At 43.9% G+C, this 27,900-nt stretch overlaps 1 pseudogene across 1 annotated transcript; it reads right to left on the bottom strand.

The window, feature by feature from the left end:
* Position 1: 1 nt before the first annotated feature.
* RPS7P5 (ribosomal protein S7 pseudogene 5) lies at positions 2-5,738 on the bottom strand (annotated as a pseudogene). The gene is made up of 2 exons (NR_036695.2): positions 5,425-5,738; positions 2-640 (listed from the first exon to the last, which is right to left on the bottom strand). The product of NR_036695.2 is annotated as a ribosomal protein S7 pseudogene 5 (transcript).
* Between the last annotated feature and the right edge of the window lie 22,162 nt (positions 5,739-27,900).

The raw sequence follows: 27,900 nt of genomic DNA, 5'->3' as shown, positions 1-27,900 counted from the left end.
TACTGTGAATACACTTTATTTAGTCATTTTTGTTTAGAGTTGAAACTCTGGGAATTCAACATTTATATCCTTGCCTGTGAGCTTCATGTAGACACCAGAAAAAGTTTCAACGTTGCGTTCCACATTGTTTTGCTGCGCTTTGTCCAAATGAGCCTTTATGAGACGGCTGCCATCCAGTTTCACGTGGATTCTCTTGCCCACAATTTCACTTGGGAAGACCAAGTCCTCGGGGATTGAGTCATGCATGGCTTTCAGGGTACGGCTCCTGGGATGCTTTTGCTTATTTTTTGTACAGCTTTTTCGGGTTGGCTTAGGCAGAATTCTCCTCTGAGCAATAAAGACAACATGCTTCCCCCAAACTTTTTCTCCAATTCACGTACTAGCCAGACTTGGATTTTCTGGAAAGATTTCAGTTGAGGAAAGGGAACAAAAATTATGATAGCTTTCCCACCACCACCATCTTCAGTTTCCTTGGCTGCTGTAATATTCAGCTCCCTGAACTGAACCTTGAGGTGTGAGTTAATCTCCAGCTCCAGAAGAGCCTGGGAGATACCGGACTTGAACTTGTCTGGCTTCTCGCTCTTGGGCTTCATGATCCTGGTGCTCGACTAAACATGGCCTTCTCCTTGCTGAGTGCCACCTTAGGAAAAGTGAAACCACGTTTTAAAACCAATTTGTCAGGAATTCATAATCATTTTCTAGCTAAGATAGGGTGAGACCCCTTTTCTTCCCTATACATTTTTAGATATCTAAAACCCTGTCCCATGTGGGGATGATGGGGTGTACAGGGGCTACCTTGGTTAGTGTGGGTCCCCCAGAGTTAGCATGCTGGGAAGGTTTGTTACCCGGAGTTGCAGGTGACTGCAGTCAAGGCTGTGCACAGAACCAAGAGCAGATGATGGCAGATTGGCCAGAAAAGGGAGGGCCAATGGGTTACCAAAAGCATTATCAGGCTGGGTGCGGTGGCTCACACCTGTAATCCCAGCACTTTGGGAGGCCGAGGCAGTGGATCACCTGAGGTCAGGAGTTCAAGACCAGCCTGGCCAATATGGTGAAACCCCGTCTCTACTAATAATACAAAAATTAACCGGACATGGTGGCACATGCCTGTAATCCCAACTACTCGGGAGGCTGAGGCAGGAGAGTTACTGGAACCTGGGAGTCGGAGGTTGCAGTGAGCTGAGATCACACCACTGTACTCCAGCCTGGGCGACAGTGCAAGACTCCGTCCCCCCCACCAAAAAAAAGCTCAATATCAGAGGTGTCCCCTGAGACTTAGAGTGAAGTAACACATATTAGGACAATCATGGAGACTAAGTAAACAGAGAAGGCAAAGCAGGAGGCTGATTCTGGAAAATACCTAGGACCAGGTAGGTCCGGGCTGGGAGATGCTGTGGGAATATAATCAGGTCTAAAGGGCTGGCAGGAGAGACAGGTGTGTGAGCTTGGAGGACTGAGACTTGGGGGACAGAAGAATGTGGTGGAGGACCGTGTGTCATCCTTGAACAAAGACAAAGACCACCTGTTCGAGCCTCGAGAGCTTCATTTGGAAGCTGAGGCAGAGTCATTGACCTGACTGTAGTGATGTGGCCTCATGAGTGAACTGGACCCCAGTACCAGTGCTGGCAGTAAAGGAACAAGAAAATGTCCTAAGGCTCCCATCAATGACTCCGGATCTCATGGGTGTTGCTCCTTTGCCCTGCTAGGACCTGAGAGAGCTGATGCCTTGAAGTCATTCAACAAAGGTGTTCTGCTCATGGTTTTTCTCCCTTAGGTGCAGGGCTAGCACTGGCCACCAGGGAGGCTGTGCCCACAGTGCTCTGCTGGAGCAACTGGAGCCAGGGAGGAGCCACCCAGGGGTCATTCTGGCCATTTTCTTGCCACCAACCAGACCTCACTTCCTGTTGTGAGCATTCATCTCCACAGTGTGAGCTGGTCAGATGGAGGAAAGTTGGGACAAGGGGCTTGAGATCCTCTCATTTACTCATTCAGTAACTAGGTCCCAAGCACTTATCTTGTTCCAGGGCTAAGTATGGTCTGGGTCTCTCAGTGAATGAATGACATGGCCCTTGTCCTCCAGGAGCTCACAGTCTGGAGGGGAGGAGGAGGGACGGAATCATTAAAATAGAGGAAAAGTGCGAGCATAATATTGAAATAAAGCACAGTGCTACGAAGGGGAGATGAAGATCACTTCAAGAGTGGGAGGTAGGTCTGAAAAGGCCTCACTGAGGTGAAATTTATACTGAGAAGGATAATTGGGACCGGCCCTGTGAAAGTCCGAGACCAGTGTGCCAGGGGAAGGATCAATGGCCAAAAAGTCCAGGAAAAAGTGAGTTTGGCCAGAGAGGAGGTAGAAAGAGGGCCAGCGTGGCTGGAGAGAGCTTGCAAGTAGAGGAGGGGAGGGAGGCTAAAGGCAGGGGTGGATTCTGGATGGCCCTGCATTAGTAATCTACAGCTGTATGAAAGCATTATCCCAATCTTAGAGGCTTGCAACAAACACGTAGATCTTCCTGTTTCTGGGGCCCAGGAATCCAGCAGGACTTATCTGGGTGCTTCTGCCATGGTATCTCTCAGGAGGCTGGGGCTGTGGTCTCAACTGAGGCTCGAGTGGGGCTGGATCCAATGCTAAGCCCACTCATATAGTTACTGGAAGGATTCAGTTAGGACTGATGGCCTGAGCTCCCCTCTGTCCATTTCCCTCTCTATATCCTAGGACACATGAGCCTCTCCATAGGGCAGCTCATAACACAGCAGCTGATTCCCCAGAGTCAGGGATCTGAGAGAGGGAGAGACAGAGAGAGGACAACACAGAGAAAGAAAAGGAGAACAGAGGAGAGAAAGAGCAAGATACTAGTCATGGACATTTTATAACTGAATCTTGGAAGTGACATCTCATCCCTTCTGCTATATTCTATTGGTTAGAAGTGAGTCACTAAGTCAGTCCATACTCCAGGGGAGGACATGACACAAGGATGTGTACACCAGGAGGTGGGGGAACCTCTTGGAGCCATTGAGGTGGCTCCTACCACATAGGCTGAGACGTGGCACTCGGGTCTGAATGTAAACAAACATTTAACCGTCACAAGCGCTGATGAGGATGACAATATCAGAATTTACTAAATTTCAGCCCTCTAATAGTACACACAGGGAAATGAGGCCAGGAGGAATGGGACATTTCAAAGATCACATGGCAGGAAACCAGGCCTCTTTTTAGTTGTGTTCCATGATAATTCCTACCATCCCTTCATGCATTTCATGTCTAATTTGTCCATTACCTACATGTGATACCAGCCCACAGGTTTCCTAAGTGTTATCTCACACATGCCTGATGACATCCCTAGGGAGTCGATGCCAGGATGATCTCCATTGTGCAGGAGAGGAGGCTCAGGGAGACCCTGAGAGGCACAGTGGCTTTGCCCAGAGTCACATAAGTGGTAAGAAGGAGGAGCTGGGTCTGAACCTACATCTGTCTATTCCAAGGTGGGACCCTGGCTGCACCCAGGCCTTCCACAGGGCCTGTAGGGAGGCAGGGTTAGTGAAATTCTGTACATCTATGGAGGGTCATTGGGTAGGGGGGTGTGCAGACAGTAGCCCACAGGGTCATTTGCAGTCTTCTAATCAGGGAGGGGACTCAGGGAGGGGATGCAGGTAAGGGAACCCCAGGATGTACAGAAGGTGTGGAGAGCATCGTGCTGAGAAATCTGGCTGCAACCTCAACAGTGATGTCCAGCCAGGTCTCAGGGGTCGGGCTGCTCCCCTCCCCACTTCAGAGTAAACATCAACATGACTGACATTCCACGTGCCTTCCAATGACAAAACCTTCCCTCTGCCTTTCAGAGATGCCCAGTCAATGTCCCACTCCCAGGACGTCTTCCTAGACTGCAGTCTACCACATAATTGGGTTGAGTTTATCAATGCTGTGTCCCCTCCCCAGCTTCTGGCAGCTCTGCTCTGTGTGGTCCAGCCCTATCCCCTCCCTACACGCTCACCTGCACCTACCTCCAGGCCTCCTCACCCTCAGACCCTGCCTCAGTGGACTCTGGGTGCTCCAGCTGGGCCAGGAGTAGGTGGACACGGTGCTGCAGGTCCGGGCAGGCATGTTGAGCTGCAGATAGGCCCCAGCACCTCGAGAGGGGGCAACTGTGGGGGCTGATAGAAATCACTGGCGTAATGATCCATCCAGGTGCCCAGCATGGAGGAGATGGTGCAGGGGGAGGCAGGTGAGCAGAACACATACAGGACCAGTCTCTCCTTCCACCCTGCCCTCCAAGGGACATCCCTGGGAAAACCTCTAACTTGGCTCATGCCTAAATTCCTGTGTGCAGCCTATAGGTCTCCTCTTCCCACCGACACTTCTCTTACCCCACCCCCATGGTCTCCATCTGTGATGTCAGCGTGCGTGTGCGTGTGCGTGTGTGTGTATGTGTGGATGCTGAGAGCTAACAGTTCCACAGGGGATGGTCAGGCAGGATGGTGAATCAAGGTCCAGTTGGGACTGTCTTCCTGGGGAAGACACAGGTGGACCCTTTCCCGAGCAGCTGTGCCTACTGTCAATGCTCACACACACGGGGCCCACGTGGGATGCAGACAGGGCAAACACGGGAGACCCCCTGCACAGAACATGCTCAAGGCACCAATGGTTCCTCCAACATCTGTTCCCACCTGTCCTGTCCCCTGCAGCCAGAAAGTGGTATTAGCCTCACTTAACCATATGGAATTGCAGGGAGTGGCTAGTTCCCTAAATGGTAATGTAGGCACTATAACAATTAGAAGTGAACATGGATGTGGGCCAGGAAAAAGCTCCGGATCTTCAGAATTACACAAAGCACCCACACCCCTGCCTCTTGTGTAGAGGAAATAAGTTCCAGAGAAAAAATCGTCTGGTTCAAGTTCACACACAGATTCAATGAAAAGCTGGTATCTTGGTTAGGATTAGTTTTGCCTACACATAGCAGAAAACCCAGAATAACAGCACCACAGAGAAGAGAGAGAAAGAGTTATTTCTTTCTCCAATAAAGGAGCTCTGGAGGTGGGCTCCCTGCTGCTCCTGGATGGCCCCCCAAGGCAGTCAGCCAGCATGAATCTTTCTGCCCCAGCATCTTCATAGCTGGTTTCCATCCTGAAGGCTGTCTCAGGGCCCACGGTGACTGCTTTTCAGAGGGAAAGGAGGAGGAAAGAAGGACAAAGGGGCCGCACAGCTGTGTCAGTTCCACCTAAGCACCCTCCCCAAAGACCCTCTCAGTCCTTCTGCTCACAGCTCATCAGCTTGAACTTTGTCTGGTCCCTCTTAGCTGCAGGAGAAGTTAGGAATAATAGCCTTTTAGTTTGTTTGGCAAATTGTTTTCCTAATAAAACTGAGTCTCTGTTTCGAAGAAAGAGACAAGAATGAAAACCGCGTGTACACGAACAAAGCTCTCTCCCTACCCTAAACTCCAAGCTGAAGGAGGCAGGAGGGATTGACTTCTTTTCGGCTGAATTGGGCATTCCTTCACCTACCACGGCCTCTCTTTTCTTGGTGATTATTCATTCTCGGAGAGGGGACAAAAGCCGTGATTCCAAACTAAGACATTGGAGTGGGAAACCCGCTTTCAGTTCCTCAGCAGAATGATGAGAACCTCTGTGTCGTCTTTCATCTGTCTGCGCATTGGCAGAAGGTCTGAGAAAACCCTCTTTTATATCCTAAATGGAAGAGCGGAGGTGGAGGATTGTGGAGAATTTTGGGCAAGCAGCATGTTCCTAAACCGGGTCACAATTGAAGCTCTGTAAATGAACGAAGTGGAATGCTTTGACCTCACCATGGCCCCCGGAACACCTTGACCTCTATTGTGAGTATTACAGCAAAAACAGTCCACACAAAATACAACTAATAATGGTTGAAAACTCCACATGGTAAAATTTATCACTGACAAAGAACTGATGAAAGAAAAAAATACTTAAAAAACATTTTGACATGTATTATTTGACCCCGGGCACATGAAAAGGTAGAAAGAATGATTCCAAAAAAACTTAAAAAGAGAGAATATATAGTCAGTAAATTATGTGGACAAATGACTTACATAAAACTTAATTGATCCTGATAACAATTTCAGTTTTCTAAAGTATAAAAAATCAAATTTTAGTAAATTAAAAATAAAAGTGAGTAAACGACTTTGGTTTACTTTCTGTATGTTAAAAAATCAGTGAGTTAAAATATCTTACTGAAGTTTGCTGTCAACAAAATTTTAAACTGTTGATAATAATTCTTTTTTTTTTTTTTTTTTTTTGAGATGGAGTTTTGCTCTTGTTGCCCAGGATGGAGTGCAACGGCACGATCTTGGCTCACTGCAACCTCCACCTCCCGGGTTTAAGCAATTCTCCTGCCTCAGCCTCCCGAGTAGCTGGGATTACAGGCATGCGCCACCACGCCCGGCTAATTTTGTATTTTTAGCAGAGACAGGATTTCACCATGTTGGTCAGGCTGGTCTTGAACTCCTGGCCTCAAGTGATCTGCCCACCTTAGCCTCCCCAAGTGCTGGGATTACAGGCATAAGCCACCACACCCGGCCTGTGTTGACAATAATTTTGATTTCAAAGGTTACTGAGCACAGAATAAAAATATTTTGAGGGATCGAATCTCTCTAAGGTAGTGGCAGGGTCAGAATAGCAGAGTCAAATGGAAGGCAGCACTTGCAAGGCCAAATGGACTTTTGTCATTTTAAATGTGACACAGAGATAATAACTATGTAAGTTAATCCCACAATGAAATTTTTAAGCAGGTTTATTAGTGAGATTACGGTAATAGCCAAATAACCGTTCATATTCCAGGGGTGTAACACTGTATTTCACTGCCCCCTGGCTTTGCTGGTTGTGCACTCAGTTTGGGGAGGCAGTTCTCCCTGTGGTCACTGAGGAACCCTGAATTCTTCCACCTGGTGCCTTCACCATCCCTGGGACTTCAACCCCATCTGCATTCAGCAGAAGAAAGAGAAGAAGCATGGAGAAATACCCGTGGGGGGATTTTATGGGCCTGGACTGGCAGTGGCTCCCATAAGTCCCACTCCCCTTCCCTTGGCAAGAACTGGTCACGTGACTACACATAACACAAGGGAGTCTGGGAAATGTGGTACAGCTGTGTGTGCAGAGAAGGGGAGAATGGATTTTGCTGGACAGCTAGAGTTCTCTGCAACTGTGAGTAACTCATTTGGATTAATTGTGTTTCTCATTTTATTTTGTTTTAAGACAGGGTCTTGCTCTATTACCCAGGCCGAAGTATAGTGATGTAATCATGGCTAACTGCAGCCTGGACCTTCCAGGATTAAATGATCTTCCCACCTTAGCCTCCTGAGTAGCTGGGACCACAGGCACGTGCTACCACACCCAGATAATTTCTTAACTTTTTGTAGAGATAGGATTTCACCATGTTGCCCAGGATGGCCCCCAGCTCCTGGGCTCAAGCAATCCCTCCACCAACTCGACCTCCCAGAGTTCTGGGATTACAAGCACGAGCCACCATGCCTGACCAAACGTGATTCTCAAATGTTTGTTGAGTGTCTACTGTATGCTAGGCCCTGAGCTAACAGCTGGACAGAGAGCTGCACCATAGCCTGAGAGAAGCTCCCAGTCTGCAGAAGGAGATCAGACGTGGTATGAAGTGCTTGCTATCCTAAGAAGGATAAAGTGAAAGTGCTAGAAGGCTAGTGAATTATTCCAGCATAGGAAGCTGCCTGAAGATGACAGCAACTGAGCTCCATTTTTGTAGAGAAACTAGATTTGGCTGGTAGAGGGAGACAGCAGGGGGAGCTACAGAAGCATGTAATTTTTTTTTTTCTTTTTTGAGATGGAGTTTTGCTCTTCTTGCCCAGGCTGGAGTGCAATGGCGCTATCTCGGCTCACCGCAACCTCCGCCTCCCGGGTTCAAGTGATTCTCCTGCCTCAGCCTCCCGAGTAGCTGGGATTACAGGCACGGGCCACCACGCCTGGCTAATTTTGTATTTTTAGTAGAGAGGGGGTTTCTTCATGTTGGTCAGGCTGGTCTCGAACCTACCTCAGGTGATCCGCCCGCCTTGGCCTTCCAAAGTGCTGAGATTACAGGCGTGAGCCACCGTGCCTAGCCCAGAAGCATGTAATTTATGTACAAGTTATGGTAAGGAACGCTAGACGGCAATTAAAGTCAGATTTTCAAAAACATTAAATGGCACGAATAAGTGCTCATACTAAGTGCAAAAGTAACTGGGAATACAGGATCTCCCACTGTTTTTGAAAAAAATCTCTATATCTAAATTAGATGAAAGTATACAACTCTTTTGAGTGATAGTTTTCATTTCTCTGAAATGTTTTATTGTTTATAAAATCAGCCGGGCATGGTGGCTCACGCCTATAATCCCAGCTACTCGGGAGGCTGAAGCAGGAGAACAGCTTGAACCCAGGCAGCGAAAGTTGCGGTGAGCTGAGATCGTGCCACTGCACTCCAGTCTGGGCAGCAGAGTGAGGCTCCGTCTCAAAATAAATAAATAAATAAATAAAATCAGAAGGATTCCATCAATATACTTTGATTGGTTTACTATTATCTTTAAACCAGACGTACATAGCTTTGATGTAAACCAGTTATTCTCAACACTGTCCCACCCCTCACCCTGCTAACGCTGTGAGACTGCAACCTTGTCTCCATTTTCTGTCCTAGAATCCGAAGCCTCATTCAACTGCTCAATTAATACTCCCTGAAATGGTGTACTGGGGAGAGACTTATTTTTTCATAACGTGCAATGACAAAACAAAGACTTCCACTAGGAAGCACCCCCAAAGCACTGAATCTTACACAGTTTGTTTGCGATCTAATCAAAATCCTGAGAAGACACCTTTTATTTTTATTTATTTATTAAAAAAAAAAAAAAACAACACACCGCACTTTTAATGTGATCTTTTGGAGACGAAGTTTTGGAGCCCTGCAGCATTCATGCCATTTTCTATATGGCCACCAGAGGGCAGTGTGTGTGCGACTGCTTTTGACGATGATATTGCCCATTTCAATAGTTGTCCAAGCTGGCCTTCTTCAGAATGTGTTCATGACCTTAGGGAATTCCTCTTTCTTTTCTGTTTTTTTGATACAGGGTCTCGCTCTGTCACTCAGGCTGGAGTGCATGGCATGATCATAGCCTACTGTAACCTCAAACTCCTGGGCTCGAGCAACTTTCACCGCCCCCTGCCCTTAGCCTCCCTAGTAGCTAGGACTACAGGTATGCACCACCACACCTAGCTAGCTTTTAAAATTTTTTGGAGAGACAGAGTCTTGCTATGTTGCTCAGGCTGGTCTTGAACTCCTGGCCTCAAGTGATTCTCCAGACTTAGCCTCCCAAAGCACTGGGATTACATACAGGTGTGAGCCACTGCACCTGACTGAGAATGTCTTCAATAAACTTTTTTTTATATCTCTATTATCATTTGGAAGCTAATGAAAATTCCCTATAAGGAACAAATATAAGATAATCCTCTGACTGGAAATGTACCTTGAGACAAAGGCAGCCATGGACAATTGCGTCTAACCCCAGACCTGTGTCCAGATCTGCCGCTCTCTTCTCCATCCATTCATTCTACAAACCTCTGTCTCTACAAAATATCTTTCGACAATTGGACGTAATGTACTAGAGACACTTTCCAATCACAGCAACCCCTTCTTTGTGATATGAATCTTTTGGTAACAGGGGTCTTCCTCATAAGAGAGTAGAATATGAAATAAAGGAAGACCAAATAAAGGAAATTGGCAGGAGGTCTCAGTGGAAGTCTGTCCAGAGGGGAAATCTCATGTTAGCATAGCAAAAATCCATTATACATTGTCTGCTATCTCCAACGCAGTGAGTTTCCACTTTCCCTCTAAAAGTTTGCTAAAATCCTTTATATTCTAAGAACATCACGTTATAATAACAAAAGTAGTCATAACAATTTTAAGAAAAAGACAAAATTACTACTTTAATCACCAGATGCTCCAGCTTCTACAGTTCATCCCTCAGTATTCTATCATAATCATTGGTCAGCCTCACAAGATATTAATTTGAGAGGAGTAATTCTACACCTTGGTTCTGACCATATACCAGAGTTTCTTAGCCCAGTACCTGGCCAAGGAGAGGTGCCTTAGAATACCCAGCAAATGAACTTGGGACACAAGATCTGACAGGTTGGAGAAGAGCATTTGACATTGGGACTCTCATTTAAAACAGCTCAGATATGAGGTCACCATAAACATACTACTTGATAACCTGACAGGCTCTTTAAACCTGATTGTCCTTCCACAGCAACCCCCAGCTTGGACCTACCTGGCCCCAGGTATTTCCCAGAATCACCCCCTGCTTTGACTTCTCTTGCTTACTTTGGTCTCCCTTGTGTCCTACTGGGTGGTTCTTCACTCTACGTCTCCGAGGACACCTCTGACACCCTTGGATACCCTAATGAATCTCCCATTTCTGGCCGACCTGCCATCACCTGCAGCTGGTTCTACACTTGACTTTGATTGCAGTATCATCCACACTCCGGTTAGAAGACACTCCCAGCATGCCGAGCCCAGGAGCCCACAGGAGCCAAAGAAGGCCCCCTCCCAATCTATTCCAACATCCGCATTAGGGATAGGGGATTCAAATGTCTACAGATACGTTGGGAAGAAAAGGGTCTCATGCCATCTTACTTAGAAAATGATTCCCTATTTCCGATAAGTTACTACACAATTGTGTGATTTATTTGTTCTCCTTCATGCAATAAGAGAACTTGGTATAAACAAAAAAAGTTCGATGTCCTAATACAATTAAAGAATATCTTAACAATGTGAATATTTCTTTCCTATTTCTTTTCTTTCTTTTGTTTATGATCTTATTAAAAAATGGGAATGTGATACCCTGTCTCTACTAAAAATACAACAAAATTAGCCGGGCGTGGTGGCGAGCGCCTGCAGTCCCAGCTACTCGGGAGGCTGAGGCAGGAGAATGGCGTGAATCCGGGAGGCAGAGCTCGCAGTGAGCCGAAATCGTGCCACTGCACTCCAGCCTGGGCGACAGAGCAAAACTCCGTCTCAAAAAAATACGGGACTTAAAGTAAAGCTATATCTGCTTTCTAGGGATGGCTAGAATGGGAACGTTCTGTTACTTGTTTGTTTGCCTTTACAAATATTTTTAGTTCAGTAGGAACCATAGAATTCAGTGGGTCACATCCTTGCATTTTGCAGGTGAGGCAGCTAAGGCCCAGAGAGAGGGTGTGTCTTCCCTAATGCTCATGGTCACCAATTCCTCCACCTACCTGCAGAAAATAAATAGGATCTTATTACACCCAGTATCTCCAGATTCTAGGCCAGTGCGTTTAAATAGTAGGCATCCAGTAAATCAAGTTAATTGAATTATAACTTAACTCGGAGGACTTGCCTTCCCCGCCCTGTCTGCCCCTGAGTGCCTGGTGCTGGCTTTGACCCTAACTAGATATTAAACAGGAGGAGTGGTATGGGGTAAAGTTTGGAACAACACGTTTTCCTTTAGTGTATAAAAATTCTATGATTTCCAAATGTATGAAAACGTTGATTGAAACAACTTCTCTCCCTGAGATCAAAGCTATCTCTCCCTCCCTCTCTCTCTCTCTCTCTCTCTCTCTCTATCTATCTATCTATCTATGTGTTGCATTGTTTTATTTATGTATCTTCTCAGCCCTTTTGCGTAAGGGATGGGGAAGAGCTGTTTGTGATGAGAAAAGAATAACTGCATTGAGTTAATTCTATGACTCATGTTTTTCACACTTTTACACATATCTGGAATTGACAATATCTTAAAACACTGGTGTCTCCATGGAGTCGTGGTGCGGTTATCATTGCCTGAGAATATGTGTCTTTGGTTGTTATTACTGCGGACCTGTCTGGATGATGGCAACCACTTAATGTCTGAGTCAACAAATTATGGACACAATTGCAGAAAGAAGTCAATGTTCTGGTTGTCTGAAATTATCTTTGACATCTGATAAAATCAAGACAGGCCCAGTAGTAAAACTTGCAGACTTAGTATATAATCCAAGAAGAAAACTCCAGCAACTAAACTGTGGCACGCTTTTAAGAGCGGCTGCATTCCCAGGGTTCTGTAGAACATTGAGTATTTAGAAAACCCAAAAGGACACCACTGACTGTGAAAAGATGGACACTGAATACCAAAAAGGTTTGAAAATACCTAAGCCTTTTATTTTGCTTGTATTTTCTCCTTTACACATTCATAAGAGGGATATATATTTTAAAATCCATGTGTAAAGACTCCAAAAGCTCTGTGTATACACTAAATGTGTAACGATTTTGATGACTAAAAAGCATTAGGTTCTGTAAACCTAAAACTGTTGTAATATAGTTTTTTTTTTAAAAAGAAACATTGGGTAATAGTACAATTGAATAAATGTTTCTTTTTTAGTGATACATAAAGCAATGTTCTTACAGTTGATGATGACTCAGACGCAATGAAATATGGGCATTTCATGCCTGATTCTGAGTCATTTTGCTACTACAGTCAATAGACAATAAGTTCCCCCAAACAAGTGATAGCAATAGCAACTTTTTTGTTTTTATTTTTTATTTTTTGAGACGGAGTCTCGCTCTGTTGACCAGGCTGGAGTGCAGTGGGAGGATCTCAGCTCACTGCAAGCTCCGCCTCCTGGGTTCAAGTGATTCTCCTGCTTCAGCCTCCTGAGTAGCTAAGACTGCAAGTGTGCACCACCACACCTGGCTAATTTTTGCATTTTTAGTAGAGATGGAGTTTCAGCATGTTGGCCAGGCTGGTCTCAAACTGCTGACCTCAGGTGATCCGCCTGCCTCGGCCTCCCAAAGTGCTGGGATTACAGGCATGAGCCACCACACCCAGCCTGATAGCAACTTTTAAAGTTTAATTTTGTTAATGGTTTTAGGGAAAAAAAAATCTGACTCCTCACTTATTTTTGCACCAAATGAAAAAAGTCATAATAAAAGGAAAACTACGAAGTTATAAACTGTTCTGTGACCCAGTAATAAGTATGTGTCTGTGTTTAATGACTTTCCATACTCAGAAGTCACATTGCGTATTTGTTTACCATAAAGAAAGCAGATCTTGGCTGGGTGCGGTGGCTCACACCTGTAATCCCAGCAGTTTGGGAGGCCGACGTGGGTGGACCACCCGAGGTCAGGAGTTCGAGGCCAGCCTGACCAACATGGTGAAACCCCGTCTCTACTAAAAATACAAAAATTAGCTGGGCGTGGTGGTGCATGCCTGTAGTCCCAGCTACTCGGGAGACTGAGGCAGGAGAATCACTTGATCTGGGAGGCGGAGGTTGTGGTGGGCTGAGATGGCGCCATTGCACTCCAGCCTGGGCAACAAGAGCAAAATCCATAAAAAAACAAAAAACAAACAAACAAAAAAAACCAAGAAGGCCGAAGATCTCATGGGCTCATGGGTCCCTGGGTTGAATTCTGAAAATTTACCTAGTTTAGTGAGAGAAAAGGTATCTTGACATGATTCACTTGCCTTTTAACATACTTCGGGGGCAAATGAAGAGTAGCTTTGATAATTCCAGTTTTCTAAATCTAAAATGTGTTCTCCATAGATATGACTTTACCAAGATGAGGGTATTTCTGTTTGTCTGCATAGGCTTGATCTGCAATTTATAATGGCATCTACATTCACAATATTAATATAATTTTTCATCAGAATCAGAAGAGTGTGACTTTTGTGATAATGTAAAATGATAAAAACCTGCATGTCTGAAGTTGTACTTGGAGATCTCTTTTGCAGTGTCACCAGAGTATCTGGTTTGATGCTGTGTATTTCACCATTACTCAGCATGCGGGTGACTGCTGGCTGCTCTGCTCATCAAGTATGCTTTCTTTTCAAACAGCCTTTGGGAAACTGACAAGTGATGACATATGCTTATATTTATCTTTAGATCCACAATTTAGTGATTGTTATTTGTAAAAGACCCTTTTCATGGTCATCCATTCAGCAAATATTTATTGTGTAGTCACTGCAAGCCATGCACTACGTTACAATTACCTTACAAACAACATAGCTAACTAAATCAATATTTATATTAGAGTTAAAGATATCAAGCCTTAGAAAAAGCTAATTTAGTTATCATAAGAGAAGCTGTGACCAATATGTTTGACATCTGTACATACAGATAAAATATTGTTGCCCACACCAGGGTGATGTGATAAGTGGTCAAATTCCCATTAATTCAAAATTCTTATCCAATAGTTTCCTAGATTGCCTAAAACGTTCCCCTTTAGTCTCATTTTTTTGGTAATTTTTGGCCAGGTTTTCTAACCAGCAGTTTATGGAAATCTATGTTCCACAATCCTAGAGAATTCATCACTAGATCTGCAATATGAGAAATATTAAAGGGAATTTTTCAAAGTGAAGATTTTTTTAATTAATAGTTGAGGGTGCAGAAATGTAGGAAGGAATGAAGAGGAGCACAAAATTTTGTATATACTATGTATACGTATACACACTGAATTAACATCTACTTTTAAAAAATAACAATTATAATAATAGCTAGCAGGGTGGAAACATGTAGAGGTAAAACATGGAAATAATTGTGAAAAGGGAAGTAGGATGACAAACGGAGTCAATGAGTGAAGATTCCGGATCGCTTCTCGAAGCTACACTAGAAGTGGGACTTTTGTTTAAGCGACAGTATTAAGTCAAGGATAAATACTGAATCTGTAGGGCAACCACCAATCAAATTAAAATAATTATATATATCTATGTACACATTATGGACATGAATGAATAAATGTTTATTTATACACATAACTAAAAGAGTGAAAAGTGGAATTCTAAAACAAACAAACCAACCCAAAAGAGAGGAAGCAAATCTCAAGTGTCATGTCATTACCAAACAATAATTATATGATTATTAGAGAGAGCTGACATATTATAAAGGGTAACAGAGGAGAAAATGGAATGATTTAAAATTATCTGGAGAACAGGCGCGGTCACGGCGGAACGCTGACATCAGCCTCCTGCGGCCCGGGCGGCTGCACCCCGCGAATCCCCAGCCGGAGCAGCTGCGGGGCGCCGTGCGGGTGGCGGAGCGGCCGCCCCGCGCGTGGAGGAGCGTGGCCAGCGCAGCCGGGATTCGGAGCAGGGCCGCAACCTCGCGGTCCTTGCCCGCGGCGACCGTGACATCCGCGTAGACTCGCCCTTTAACACCCGCGACGCCCCGGGGACCGGCCCGGGTCGGCGGTGGCCGCGGGGCTGTGAGGGCGGCGACGAGGTTCCGCAGGTCGGCGAGTCGCAAGGCCGCCAGGGGGCCGCGTGTCGGTCCGTCCCTCCCGCTTGGGGCCGCCACCAGCCCGTTCCCTGTTCCGCTCCCCGCCCGGCACCCTCCGGAGCCCTGGTCCCGGAGCCAGGGGCCCTTTTCCTTCTCCCGTCCCCGCCCGGTCCCCGACGGGGCGCGCGGGAGGAATTGCCTGAGCAGGACGCCCCCTGCGTAGGTGGGTGGGTGGGAGCGGGGCCCGGGGCCGCCAGTCCTGGGGGGCGATCGCGGGTGTCGCGGGGAGGGTGTGGCCGGGCTCGGCGCGGGCCGGGAGGGAGGTGGTCGTTGGGCGTCTGACACCGCCCGCCCCCCCACCGCCCGGGTTTAAATGTCTTGCTCCCTCGGAGCCTCCCCAGTCCCTGCGCGCCCGCGGGACCCCCACTCTGGAGCCACCTCCTTCCCAGAAGACGCCGCCAAATTAGAGGGCGCGAGCCCGGGAAGGAGCCACTCGCCCCTCCCCTTTCTGTGGGCGGCTCCAGATGCCCCTCTGAAGGCCCAGGTGGTGACCGGAGCCACCTGAGTGTCCTCAGCAAGGGGGTTCAGGCCTTCATGCAGGGGGAGAACTGCGGTGAGCAGTTCTGGATTTCTGCTCTCGGCCCCGCACCACCCAGCAGCATTTTGTTCTCGTTTTCAGATATATTTGTGTGTCTCTTGATTTTCTGTTACTCTCCGTAAAGGGGAAACCAAGTTGCCACAAATTGTAAAGACTGAAATCATACTATGTTCTCTGCTAAAAGTGGACTCCTACTAGAAATCAGTAACAGAAAGAGAAATAGAAAATTCATAATGTTTGGAAATGAAGCACCATACTTCTACATGATCCATGTGTTAAAGAAGACATCACAGTAAAATGTAGATAATAATTCTAACTGAATGGTAATGAAAATACAGTATAGTAATACTAGTGGGATGTTGCTTACAAGGAACATTATTGCTTCAAATGCCTATGCTGGAAGAAGTGATGAAAATCACTTAACAAAGCTTCTGTGGCAAGAAACTAGAAAGGAATAGCAAATTAAACAGAAGAAAGTAGAAGCAGCTAGATAACAAAGAACAGAAATCAATTATAAGAAAGCAAATGTACTATATGAAAAATTAACAAAGGTAAAAGTTGGTACTTGGAAAAACTAGTAAGATGATTTTTTGTAAACAAACAAAAACCTGGCACATAAAAAAAGATTAAATATGGGTAGGGATGATAATGATCAGGGAAGTCCAGGAGCATGAAACTGCCCAGAGAATCAGCATAGACAACGGTACGTGGTTAAGCAGCTCAACAGTGACTTGTCCTGCATTTTATTGATTCTCTTGGCTTTTCCCTCATGCAGACGATGGCTGTCACATCTCCAGACTTTACTTCTACTGACACTATTTGTAGTGACACCCCGGTGTCAGCAACTTGTTCCTGCCACCCTGGATGCTTCCAAAAGCCAGACTCCTGTGCATCAGCCTTTGGCAGCAAAGTGCAGAGCGTCCTTGCTTAAGTAGCTTGCTTCTGATTTGAAATCTTCTGAGCATGGATCTGATTGGTGGAACTTACACTCCAGCTGCAATTCCTGTGTTCTTGAGTTCTCTTTCACTTAAGTTACTCTGTTAGCAGCTCATCACCTCTTGCCAATTAGTAACTCATCTTGTTAAATTGTTCCTATTCAAATTATGGGTGTGTTTCTGATTCCTGGCTAGATCCTGACTGACACACTTTCTCAGCAAGATTAGCACGTGTCTGATTTTGAACTGGACAGTCAGTCTTGGATTTGACATTCTGTCTGGTATAAGCTAGGCAGAACTATAAATGCTATTTTTAATTTATGTAAAATTTTTATTAAAATAGTCATATGCTCAGAAGTTATGCAACTGAATGTAAAATGTGTATATTTATGTATCATATACACATATTTATGTATCATACTTTTTATAATTTTGTCTATGCATTTTTATCAAATGTATTATTTTGAACTCATTCTGTAATCCTATTTCTACCTATGTTTCCAAATTTTACAAATGGGCACATTTTCTCTTTTATGGCACTCTAATCCCTTTTTCCAGCCAAGAGCATTAGTGTATTGGTTTAAGCTTCAAGATTTCAAGTTATATCGCCTCAAGTAAATCCTTCCTCTGCAGCTGTTTGAAATTTGTCAAGTAATAGCACTTTCCAGAACAAAACCAGACACAAAAGAAAACACATTCTATATGCCATTTATTTGAAGTCCAATAACAGGCAGAAGTCATTAGATGTTCTGGGGATTAAGGGAGTGATGGTTTTTATGTCAACTTGATTAGGCTCTAGTCTCAGCTGATTATTCGAACACTGTGCTGCCATGAAGGTATTCCGTAGATGTGATTAACATCTACAGTTCACTTCAGATAAATGAGATTATCCTCTATAATCTGGCTGGGCCATTCCAATCAGTTGAAAGGCTTTAAAAAGAATTGAAGTTTCCCTGACGAAGAAGAAATCTCCTCTCTGGATTGTGGGTCAGCTCCTACCCAGACTTCCAGCCTGACCTCCTGTGGCCTGCCCTGTGGATTTCAGACTTGCCCAGGAACCCTCACAACTGCTTGCTGTATATGTATCTTACTAGTTCTGTGTCGGAGGAAGAGCTTGACTGATACAGGTGGGAAAGTGAAGAGGCACAAGGGAAATTTCTTGAGTGACAGAAATGTTCTATAACTTCTTCCAGCAGAGGCTACCAAGATTATATAACAGGCTGGGTGCTGTTGCAGGCTCATGTCTGTAATCCCAGCACTTTGGGACGCCAAGGCAGGAGGATCGCTTGAACCCATTAATTGGAGACCAGCCTAGGCAACATGGTGAAACCCTGTTCTACAAAAAATACAAAAATTAGCCAGGCATGGTGGCAGGCGCCTGTAGTCCCACCTACTTGGGAGGCGGGATGATCACTTGAGCCTGGTAGTTTGAGGCTGCAGTGAACTGTGAACCATGACTGCACCACTGCAATCCAGCTGGGACAACAAAGCAAGACCCTATCTCAAAAAAAAAAAAAAAAAAAAAGGGAAAGATTGTAAAACAATTTCAGGATTTAGTTTCATCATCTGTATTAGAACAAAAAACCTCCCTACCACTAATCATACATAAACATTAATTTGATATGAACCATAGACCTAAATATGAAAGTTACATTATAAAGTTTTTAGGAGGAGAATTTAGAGAATATCCTGTCTGCAATATAGAAAACTAGACACATGATTTAAATAGACCTTCCACAAAGGGAAGTATGCAGATGGCCATTCCACAGGGACACAGTACTCATTATAATGAATCACGAGAGAAACAAATGGAGACCACAATAAAGTGCCAACACACAATACTGAACAGGGCTAAAATTAAAAATACAAACACGACCAAGTGTCAGTGAGGATGCAAAGCAAGACCACTCATGTTGCTAGTGAGAGGGTAAAATGGCATAATCACTTTGGCAGTTTCTTATAAAAGTAAACATGTTCCTGACCTATAATTCAGCAATTCCAGCTCTCAGCATTTACCCAGGAGAAACAAAACACATGTCTGCAAAGAGACCTTTATCAGAATGTTCACCACCATTTTATTCACAGCTGCTCCAAATTGGTAACAGCACACACATCCATCAACACGAACATGTAGTATATTTGTCCAGTAGAATACTCCTCAGCAATGAAAGACAAACCATGGATAAAGCGACAGAATTAATGAATTTGAAAAGCATCGTGTTCTGCAGAAGAAGACACTAAAGAGCACATAAGGTGTGATTTCCCTTCCACCACTGGATTGTCTTTGTCTTTGTCAGGAAATAGTTCATGGATAAGTGTGGATCTACTTCAGGATTCTATTCTGTTACTTTGATCTATATGTCTGTTGTTATGTCAATACCACGCTGTCTCGATTGCTATAGTTTTCTAGTAAGTCCTGAAAGTAATGTGATCCTCTAAGCATGTCCATCTAAAGATTATTTTGACTGTTCTGTTTCTTTCGTTGATACATTTTTAATTACTGTAAGTTTTGTCAGGTTTTATTTAGATTCTAAAATTAATCACTGAAGTTGTAATTGATATTTATAATAAGTAATTTATATATCTTTAGTTTCTAGCATGGTAGTAGGCATAAATTAAATGTTGATTTCCCTATCTTTTTTTTTCTACTCTTCCCTTCCCCAAAATCTTAGACTTGCACAGGAAACAAACAGCCTTTCCTTTCATGGGTTACATTGAGTTATAATTTAACTTTGAGAAAAGAAGGGAACTAAAATGAGCAGTAGAGAGAATTTCACTATAAATTTTCAGTTTCCCAGTAGTCATTTTAAAAATCTTATGACTATAGGATTCCATAATTCATATAAGCAATTTCTTATTTGGCCAACTTTGTAACCAAATTTACAGCAGATGCTCACGTCCCTTTGCCTTCTCAAACATGCTAGCTAACTCCAAATGCCATGGGGGAATTAAAGTCCTAGACCTGGCTGAGCACCGAGGCCACCTGGAGATTGTTTTACCATCTGTCAGGCTTCACTTCAGACCTCTGTATCTGTGGTTTTTTGTTTTTTGTTTTTGAGATGGAGTTTTGCTCTTGTAGCACAGGCTGGAGTGCAGTGGCACAATCTTGGCTAGCTGCAACCTCCGCCTCCCGGAATCAAGCGATTCTCCTGCCTCAGCCTCCCGAGCAGCTGGGATTACAGGCACCACCACCCCAGGCTAATTTTTTGTATTTTTAGTAGAGACAGGGTTTCGCCATGTTGGGCAGGCTGGTCTCAAACTCCTGACCTCAGGTGATCTGCCCCCCACAGCCTCCCAAAGTGCTGGGATTACAGGCGTGAGCCACCATGCCTGGCCCTGTATCTCTATTTTTTAAGGACCTTAGTAATCTAGGTACATTCAGACTTTGAGGAACCAGAGCCTGGAATTGCCTGGCCTTAAACACTCAGCTCATGGGACATTGAGGAGAAGCTGGCAGTGCCCAGTAGAGCACACTAACAAGTCCCATAAAGGAAAGAAAGGCTTTGAAGATCCTTACTCCTGAATGGTGTCCCACCTGCCCTTAAGTTAGCTTTGAAAATAGGGATGCAATGTGCCGAATCGACCTCACCCCACAGTAGCTTTCTGAAGCTGGCATAAATATCAGAAAAAGGGCTGCTTTCCTGCCCTGCCACTTCCCCTGGCTCCCCAGCAGCTCCTCTGTCACTCTTTCCATCTGCAGACGCCCCAGGAGGCAATCAGCACAACAGCCTTGCCCCGTCCTTCAATCCTCCTTGGATTTGCTCCTGTTATTCCTTCTCCCTGAAATCCCCACCTCCCCACTCCATCACCGCCTGTCAGATCATTTCCTTGAATACCCAATTTAAATGGTATTTCCTCACTAAGCCATTGTGACTGTCTAGGTCTGGATTTTCCAGCCGTGTTCGGACTCCATGCATTCGGTTCCACTGTCACACTTTGAGGAAAGCCCATGTGCGCTGAAGTTTTGGTTTTCACACTGTTTGCTGCTCTCAGCGTCTTCACCTGGAGTTCATAATTCCCTCCTCCATGCACTCTGGCACTTTGGCTATGTCTCTGTGTTGGTGATAATTCCGGGCCTCTGTTCCAGCATCTGGGTGGCCCTCTGGCTCTGAAGCTGTCTTGAAGACAGGTATTGATTTTTATTCCCTGCATGTTCTCCTGGCATTCACCCCAGAGAAGAGGAGTGTGATATTATTCCACAAATAACTTCAGCCTCCAAAACTGCTAGTGCCCTCACTGTTTCACTTTACATTCAGCCATGTGGAGAAATCTAAGTAGGAATTGTTTTTATAGTGGTACACTCTAATGTTAGTATTTGCTGTGGGTTGAATTGCATCCCCACTACTCATTTGTTGAAGTCCTAACCCCCAGTACTTCAGAAAGTGACCTTATTTGGAGATAGGGTTGATGCAGATGCAGATGTAAAGATTAGGTTAGGATGTGATCATAATGGGGTAGAGAGAGCAGGGTGGGCTCTTAATCCAATATAAGCTGTGTCTTTACAAAAGAAGAAATTTGGACACAGAGACACAAAAAGGGAGAACTCCGTGTGGACGGGAAGGCAGAGATTCAAAGGATGCAGCTACAAGCCCAGGAATGCCAAAGATTGCCAGGAAACCCCCAGATGCTGGGAGAGAGGCATGGAGTGGCATCTCCCTCACAGCCCCCAGAAGGAACCAACACTGCAGACAGCTTGATCTCAGCCTTCTGTCCTCCCGACTGGGAGACAATAAATTTCTGGTTTTCAAGCCATCCAGTTTGTGGTACTTTGTTCTGGAAGCCCCAACAAACTAACAATGGACTCGATCAATGGACACCCTTGCACCTTCACTATCTACAGCTATAGACCTTTAGTATTGTAATCTGGAATCTCTAAGAATAATTCATGTGTTCTTTAGCTTGTCCTTCTTAGGGAGATAAGTAAATTCACAACTTAGTTCTTTCTTTTTTCTTCTTTCTTTCATTTTTTAAAACCAGTAAGGTTAATCAACTATAGATTGTTCTCCTTTTATGTCTTACCAAAGTTTTTGTGCCTGATAAACATTTACTTATCCTTCAAGACCAAGTATTTGAATTAAAATTCAGTGTGGCTACACATATCAGAGGCTTTAAAATAAGAATGATTTACACACAGAAAAGTTTGTCTCTCTCTCATATATAAGTCTGAATGTAAGTAATCCATGAAATCCTTGTAACCCGGGTTCTTTCTACCCTACTGATCTGTCATCACTAGGGCACTCATTCTCATGATTCAGTATGGCAACCATTGCTCCAGCCATCACATCTGCATTTCAAAGAGCATAATGTAGAGAATAACCAAGAAGAAAAGGGCACATTATATGAAGCATCTATCTTTTTTTCTTTTTTCTTTTTTTGAGATGGAGTCTCGCTCTGTTGCCCAGGCTGGAGTGCAGTGGTGCGATCTCGGCTCACTGCAACCTCCACCTCCCAGGTTCAAACGATTCTCCTGCCTCAGGCTCCTGAGTAGCTGGGACTACAGCCATGTGCCACCACGCCCAGCTAATTTTTTTGTATTCTTAGTAGTGACAGGGTTTCTTGTGCCACACGCCCAGCTAATTTTTTTGTATTCTTAGTAGAGACGGGGTTTCACCAAGTTGGCCAGGATAGTCTCGATCTCTTGACCTCATGATTGGCCAATCTTGGCCTCCCATAGTGCTGGGATTACAGGCTTGAGCCACGGCGCCTGGCCGAAGCATCTACCTTTTAAGGAAGGATCCCAGTCGCTACCACATGATGCTTCTGCTTATATCCTAGAATTAGCCACTTGGCTAGAATGTTATCACACGATCATACCCATGACACACAATGAAGGCTGGGAAATGTCATGCCATGTTTGTTCTGAGCCATCATCCTCCCAAATAAAATCAGACATTTTACTAATGTGGAAGAAGACAGTGGTGAGTGGGAGAAAACAACTTATCTCAGCCACATCTAGTTAAGATTTAATCTTGGGAAATAATTTATTTTATAAATTATTGATATTAGTGATATTCTGTATTAAGCAGCCCAACATCTGTATTAGTTACTTGAATGCTAGTTACTAAAACCAGGAGATCCACAAATTTCAGTGTCCTAATGTAATAGATACTTACTGCTGATTCACATGATAATCCAAGTGTAAATTTTTTCTTGACAGGCAGTTTTCTTCCTCAGTGTAATTCAGAGACAAAAGTTTCTTCCATTTCAGCCAACAGACAGGGGAAGAGTACATGGAACAGGCCACATTTCAAAGTCACAACCTAGAAGCAAACATATCACTTCCACTCACATCTCATTCGCTAGAACTCATCAGTCATCGGGCCACACCCAATGCAAGATGTCCAGGAAGAAGAGGAAAATAATTTATCTAAACAAGGAGCTATGCCTGCCACAATATTTATCTCTCCTGGAGGAAATGGTAGCATCCATGGGTCACCTGCTCATATAGCAATGTTGCTTGGGCCTTAACCCAGAAAGCAGCACCTTCACCTCTCTATGAGAACTGGAAGTATGCTGAAATCAAAAATAGTAGTGGGAAATTGGATGCTTGAAGAAAAATGTGAAAATTTATCTAAAAATGAACCACTTGCAATCATAAAAATAAATTATCCTGCTAGGATGGGAGAGGGACAGGATATTGACATTCTTTGATGTTTTCTTTGAGTATGAAAACTTCACTAGCCATTGATGTAATGAGTTGTTTTTATTTTTTCCTTTTAAGGGATTTGTCCATTTTATTTAAACTTCAAAATTTATTGACATAAAATTATAGAGAAGAGCAGTAGAGACTGGGGTAACTAGGATTTATGTTCAGAAGTGGGTGTACACCTTCTGCCAGGCCAGTAGTGTAGGGAGTTGAGACCATCTAGTCAGTAGTTGGGCTGTATTCAAATTCCTCCAGGGTGGGCTAGTTACTGTGACCTCCTGCTTAGTGTGGAGCCTGTGGTGCTGGCAGGTTTTCCTGTGTCACTTCTTCATTCTCAGCAGCTGGTTTCATGGGCAGGGGTCTCGTGCCATGCTCAGGGCCCTCCCGCAGCAGCGGTGTAACTGATGGATTATTTCTGTTGAGATATCCTACAAAGAGTCACAGCTCCTGTTGCCTTCTCCATCTGATTACATTTGTGGAAATCTACTGCTCATCTCCATAACCCATCTGGCTTTTAAGGTATCCAAAGAAGCAAGGAAAATGAGCAACAGTGGGAATTGCTAACCTGCCTGTCTCGAGGGTTTGATGACACTGCTCACCTCTCCTGTCTCCTCCATGGTTGACGTGTTGCCTTTGGTTTACTCTCAGGGATGGGGTAGTTCCAGGAACCTTTACTTGGGCCTTTCTTCCCTAGTAAGAAAAATTCCTGGGTTCAGGAAACCAGTGTGCAGATTCCGCCAGTGGCTAAAAATTCCTATCCCACTAGTTGATAAATACATCCTTTCTGGAACTGAGGAGTAACCACAGGCAGAGGCCATGGTCCCACTGAACAATCTTAACCTTGGGCCAAGGCAGCTTCTATCCCCAGACTTCCAAAGCCCTTGCTGGGCCACACAGCTTTTCTGATGTTGGGGATTCAAAATCTGCTCCAAACATGTAGACGAAATTCTCCAGAAAATGCATGTAGGTATCTCCCTTCTTCCAAAGTGTGGTCACAGCAGTAATTGCCTTTGATTTTGGGGACATTTGGGGAAGCTGAGGGAAAAGATACATGATACATACCTGAGACGACATTGCTGCCTTGAAGGGCTCCAATCTCTCCCTCAGTCTAGGAGCTCAGAGTCAGGTCATTACTGGCTTATGTCTCATAACTATGCTAGAGACAATGGATCCCGCTGCCCATCAATTTCATTTCTAAGGACCCCTGATCAATTACCCCTCACCATGTATCCCTGTGGGTCATTCTCTAATTCCCATCCTGCCCACAAGGCATACTGGTGACTGCATGCACCTTGTCTCTGATGCCTGAGCCATCTGACCCTGTCACTCTTCACTGTCCCCTACCGTCATTGGCAGCAATAGAGGATGGCCAAGCACAGATCTCTTTGAGGATGCTGGTGCCTCCTCTGCCTTTGCCAATGCACTTTTTAAACTCTTTGATGAAGTGAGTGAGCTCTGCTTTCTCCCAGCAGGCAAGATTAGGGATGGCTGAGCAGACTGCACATCATAGCTCCATCCCACCATGCCTGTCCTTATGCATTCTGACTCCTTCCTCCCTCCCTCAGCAGTATGGCAAGGACATTCGAGCATTCTGACCTCATTATCTGGAAGCCATCATAGGGCCCAGAGTACCAACACCACTAGCAGGTGGTCTATCCAATACTTTAAACCCAAATCCATAGTGGGCTCTCTCATGTCAATGAATTCAGTCCAATCAAGACCTTTATTTTGCTCCTTGGTCCACCGCCTTGGACCCACTCCCACTCCTGCTGCCCAGGCTTTTGCCAGCATGGACCTGCAAGGTCCCATAAGCTTTCAGCGTATAGTCATCTCCTCCAGGGCAGTCCTGGCAACGCTCTCTCCTGGCTAATGACCTATCTTTAGATCTCCCTTTTATTATGGGTTCCTAACTGTACAGTGAAGCAAGGTCAAGCAATTTTTTCACTGTACAGACCACCTCCTCCCCAGTCAAAAGGTGAATGTGAAGGACCAAATAGAAGTTATCTGTACATCAAGCTAACAATGGATTTTTACAAATAAATGAGAAAAATCTTTTGGGGGCAATGTATACGTGTATATTACCCTAATCGCAGTGATGGTTTTATGGATATATACATGTGCCCAGATTTGTGAAATTGTAATCTTTATTTGGCTGATGTGCATTGTAATATATCAATTATACTTCAAAAAGCTGTAAGGAAATTTACAGACTAACTTACCCAGGAAACTGAGCACAGTGTCCTTATCAATATGAAATATTAAGTAAACAATTTGTATTCCATAAAATATTACAAAGTCATAATGAGGAATTCTGGTAGGCTAAAAGAATTACATATAAAAGTGTATTAAGATTCTTGTAATACAGAAGGGATAATTTAATTTTTTTCTTGACATTCTTAAACTCCAAAATACTATCAGAGTGAAAAAAATTAAAGTCAAATGTAAAAATATCAAGAAAGGCAGAAGGTGCTTGAAATCAACAATGAGAAGACATAGTAAGTGAAAGGCCACCAGAGGGCAGTGCAGGACTGCTTAGGACAACGACATTGTTTTCCCCATTTTTTTTTTTATTAAAATTTTATTTGACAACGATTAGCAACTCAAATTGTAATTAAAATATCATTTGCTACATATTTAGGCAAACACCCAGAAACCCACTTTATATTCTATTAGTATACTAATTAATTGTGACACTATTCTTAAAAAAGAACAGAAAATAATGAACTCATTGCAAATATAATACTAATAATTTTAACTCCTTAGTTCTCACATTGTATCATTTCAATACTTCTATAAGCTAGCATTCAGAACAAGTTTTATTGTTTTAGAGAATTTTTAAAGAAATATTTACTTGCTGTTATTATTTGATATAATTTGGAAAATAATGTAAATTCCCTATAAGAAACAAATATAATTATCCCCTAACTGGAAGATGTATCTCCTTACACATGCAGACATATAAGATTAGTAATAAATGAATGAATGAGTGAAGTTGTATATTAATCAAACAAGCTATAAAAACCTTAAATGATGAAACAACTAAATGTAAGAGCTAAAACTAAAGGTCTTAGAAAAAAAATATAGGGGCAAATGTTTATGACCTTGGATTTGGATTAGTTTCTTAACATGTCATACAAAACACTAGCAGTAAAAGAAAAAAAACAGATAAATTGGGCATCATCAAAATTAAAAACTTTTGTATATCAAAGGACACTGTCAAGAGAGTGAAAAGACCACTCACAGAATTGCAGGAAATATTGGCAAGTGATGAATTTGATAAGAATCTTGTACCCAGAAAATATAAAGAACTCTTCCAGTTTAAGTACAGAAACCTTAACAATTGAACCAAAAATGGGCAATGGACTTGAACAGACATTTCTCCAAAGAAGATATACAAATGGTAAGCAAGCACATGAAAGGTGATCTACATTAGATGTTAGGGAGATGAAAAGGAAACCAACAATGAGATACCACTCCACACCCACTGGGATGGCTATAATTAAACAGTAAGAACAAAACATAAAATAGCAACTGTTGATATCCGTGGCCATCCCCACACCTGACGCTCACTGAAATATAAATGCAGGAGACAGAGTGAGACTTGAATACTACCAAAATTGCTTTTTAGCAGTGCTCCATAAGGGAGTTCCAAAACAAAGGAGTCTAAATAAAATGCAGGAGATGAAACCAAAACCTAAAGAGAAAACTTCAGAATTTCTGGAAAGGATTTTTAAAATGTATAGGCAATACACTGATGTAGATCCAGAGGCCCCTGAGAACTTAAAAATGGTAAATATAAGCTATATTAGCCAAAGCACTCTGGATATTCAGAAGAAACTACAGAAAACAGAGGAGACCCTGGGGATGCTGATGTTTCAACTGGTTGACATTGTCCTTAAGATTTTCAGTGGCAGAATCAAGTCCAGAAAGTGAAACAATAAGCTGCCTTGCTGGCGGTGGCACTGACCCAGGAACTGACCCATGGTCCACAAGTAGGAAGACCTTGATTAAACATAGGCAGCCTCCCATCCCAGAATCCAAACCATATAAGACACCCCGCAATGGGACCCCACTAATATGCCTACTGTAAACAAGAGGGAGGGCCATGGGAAAATAGAATGCCTCAACCAAAATAAGACTCTTGAAGAAGATAGGCATCAGGCAGTGCACCAAATGCCTGAGATCACCAACAGGGATGAGGAATGACGAAGCCTGGGCACTTGACTTTACTGATCCTGTTAAGATTTTCCACATCCGGCCAGGCGTGGTGGCTCATGCCTGTAATCCCAGCACTTTGAGAGACTGAGGCTGGCAAATCACCTGAGGTCAGGAGTTCAAGACCAGCCTGCCCAACATGGTGAAACCCCATCTCTACAAAAATACAAAAATTAGCCAGGCATGGTGGTGAGCACCTGTAATTGCTACTTGGGAGGCTAAGGCAGGAGAATCACTTAAACCCAGGAGGCAGAGGTTGCAGTGAGCCGAGATCGTGC

The sequence above is a fragment of the Homo sapiens genome, chromosome 1 (genome assembly GCF_000001405.40).
Source record: "Homo sapiens chromosome 1, GRCh38.p14 Primary Assembly".
Taxonomy (NCBI): Eukaryota; Metazoa; Chordata; class Mammalia; order Primates; family Hominidae; genus Homo; species Homo sapiens.
Note: the sequence above shows the minus strand (reverse complement) of the source record. Positions and strands in the feature narration are given on the sequence as shown.